This window comes from Homo sapiens, chromosome 6, assembly GCF_000001405.40.
Source record: "Homo sapiens chromosome 6, GRCh38.p14 Primary Assembly".
NCBI classification, from domain to species: Eukaryota; Metazoa; Chordata; class Mammalia; order Primates; family Hominidae; genus Homo; species Homo sapiens.
The window spans coordinates 77585390-77587566 of record NC_000006.12 but is presented as its reverse complement, the minus strand read 5'-3'; the positions used below and the strand labels follow the sequence as shown (position 1 = coordinate 77587566).

At 37.7% G+C, this 2177-nt stretch overlaps 1 annotated feature.

Moving 5' to 3' along the window:
- Positions 626–795: an enhancer, noted in NCBI's record as "experimental_95327 CRE fragment used in MPRA reporter constructs". NCBI's record gives its function as "activates a minimal promoter by MPRAs in K562 erythroleukemia cells, with activity observed for the introgressed 6:78296574 variant allele {active_cell/tissue: K562}" and the evidence as "EXISTENCE:reporter gene assay evidence [ECO:0000049][PMID:34662402]".

Here is a 2177-nt window from a genome sequence, read left to right as displayed (position 1 = left end):
AGGAGAGAAGAACTGGGCCCTTTCTGTTGACTGCAGACGTTTCGCTTTTTGGTACATCTCATTGAATTACTGAACATACTTCTCAGATGTAATGGCTTCGCCGGGATTCAGAAAGCTGTAGTAGCTCAGCCAGGCAGCAGACCACCAAACAGTGACCGTGACCTTTTTTTGGTGCCAGTTTGGCTTTGGGAAGTGCTTTGGAGCTGCTTCTTGGTACAACCACTGACCTGGTCATTGCCGGTTGTCGTATAAAATCCACTTTTTGTCGCACATCACAATCTGATTGAGAAATGGTTCAGTGTTGTTGCATAGAATAAAAGACAACACTTCAAAACGAGAATTTTTCTGATTTTCAGTCAGCTCATGAGGCACCCATTATCAAGCTTTTTCACCTTCCCAATTTGCTTCAAATGCCGTAGAGTGGTTCACATTGAGTTCATCGACAACTTCTGTTTTGTTTTTTGTTTGTTTGTTTTTTGAGACAGAGTCTCCCTCTGCTGGCCAGGTCAGAGTGCAGTGGTGCAATCTCAGCTCACTGCAACCTCTGCCTCCTGAGGTCAAGGGATTCTCCTGCCTCAGCCTCCCGAGTAGCTGGGATTGCAGGGGCCCACCACCACACCCAACTAATTTTTGTATTTTTAATAGAGACGAGGTTTCACTGTCTCTATTAATGGATTACTTTACAATCCATTTTCACCATGTTGGCCAGTCTGGTCTCAAACTCCTGACCTCAAGTGATCCACCGCCTAGGCCTCCCAAAGTGCTGGGATTACAGGCATGAGCCACTGCGCCCAGCCAGGAACTTCTGTAGTTGTAAAAGGATCAGTTTCGATGATTGCTCTCAATTGGTTGTTGTCAACTTCTGATGGCCGACTACCATGCTCCTCATCTTCAAGGCTCTAGTCTCCTTTGCAAAACTTCTTGAACCACCACTGCACTGTACATTCGTTAGCAGCTCCTGGGCCAAATGTGTTGTTGATGTTTCGAGTTGTTTTTGCTGCTTTACAATCCATTTTGAACTCGAATAAGAAAATCCCTCAAATTTTCTTTTTGTCTAATGTCATTTCGATAGTCTGAAATAAATATAAAATATATAGCAAGCAATGTCATTAGCAAAAAAAGTGAGAAATATACCCTAAAATGATGAATAACATAACCATATTTATTTAAGAATGTATTCCAATATCAAATGGCAAATTTTAACAATGCAAAACTGCAATTACTGTTGCACCAACCTAATAATTGGATCAGGGTTGTGCTAGCTTGTCTTGATTTTTCTGTTCTGTTTCCCAATCTTACTTAGGAAAATGTGCCTCTTGCTTAGGAAAACGTGCCCAGGTAGTTGTAATACCTTTTATCAAATAGTAAATGTTTAAGAGTAAGTAAAAGAATACTCAGACATGAGTGGCTCACTTACCATTGTGTGTGTGTGTGTGAATGTCTGTGTGTGTGTGTGTGTGTGTGTGAGTGTGGTGAGAACACTTGAGATCTACCCTCTGCTAATTTGAAGTATATAAGACAATATTATTAACTGTAGTCACCATGTTGTATATTACATTTCCAGTACTTATAATCTTTTAACTAAAGGTTTGAACCCTCTAATCAATAGCTCCCCCTTTTCCCCACATTCAGTCCCTGGTAACCACCATTCTATTCTCTGTTACTATGAGTTCAACTATGGTAACTATGTGAGGTGATTGATATATTAGCTAGCTTAATTGTGGTAATTATTTCATAGTGTATATGAAATATATATATTACGTATATCTCACATTATCATTACATATACATAGTGTATATGAAATATATATATTACATATATCTCACATTTATTAATCATACCTTACTAAAGCTGCAAAAAAGAGTGGCTCAGGCAGCAAAAACATTATCTCAAATAGCAAGAAATCAGAAAATAGGTGGTTCCAAGGTTTATTTAGATATTTAATTAAATTATCAATGATTAAGGGTCTTTCCATCTTTCTAATCTACCATCCAACATTTACTCTGCTATGGTTACTACTATGGTTGGCCAAAGACTGTGTTGACCATTTATTAATTTAAACAATTCAAGAAACAAAAAATCCCAGATTCCCTTTGGATTAAATGCTAATTTATAAAATTAGAAAAAGAATATAGATTAATACTTTTAAGACTTTATTTTAGGAAAGAAAATAACT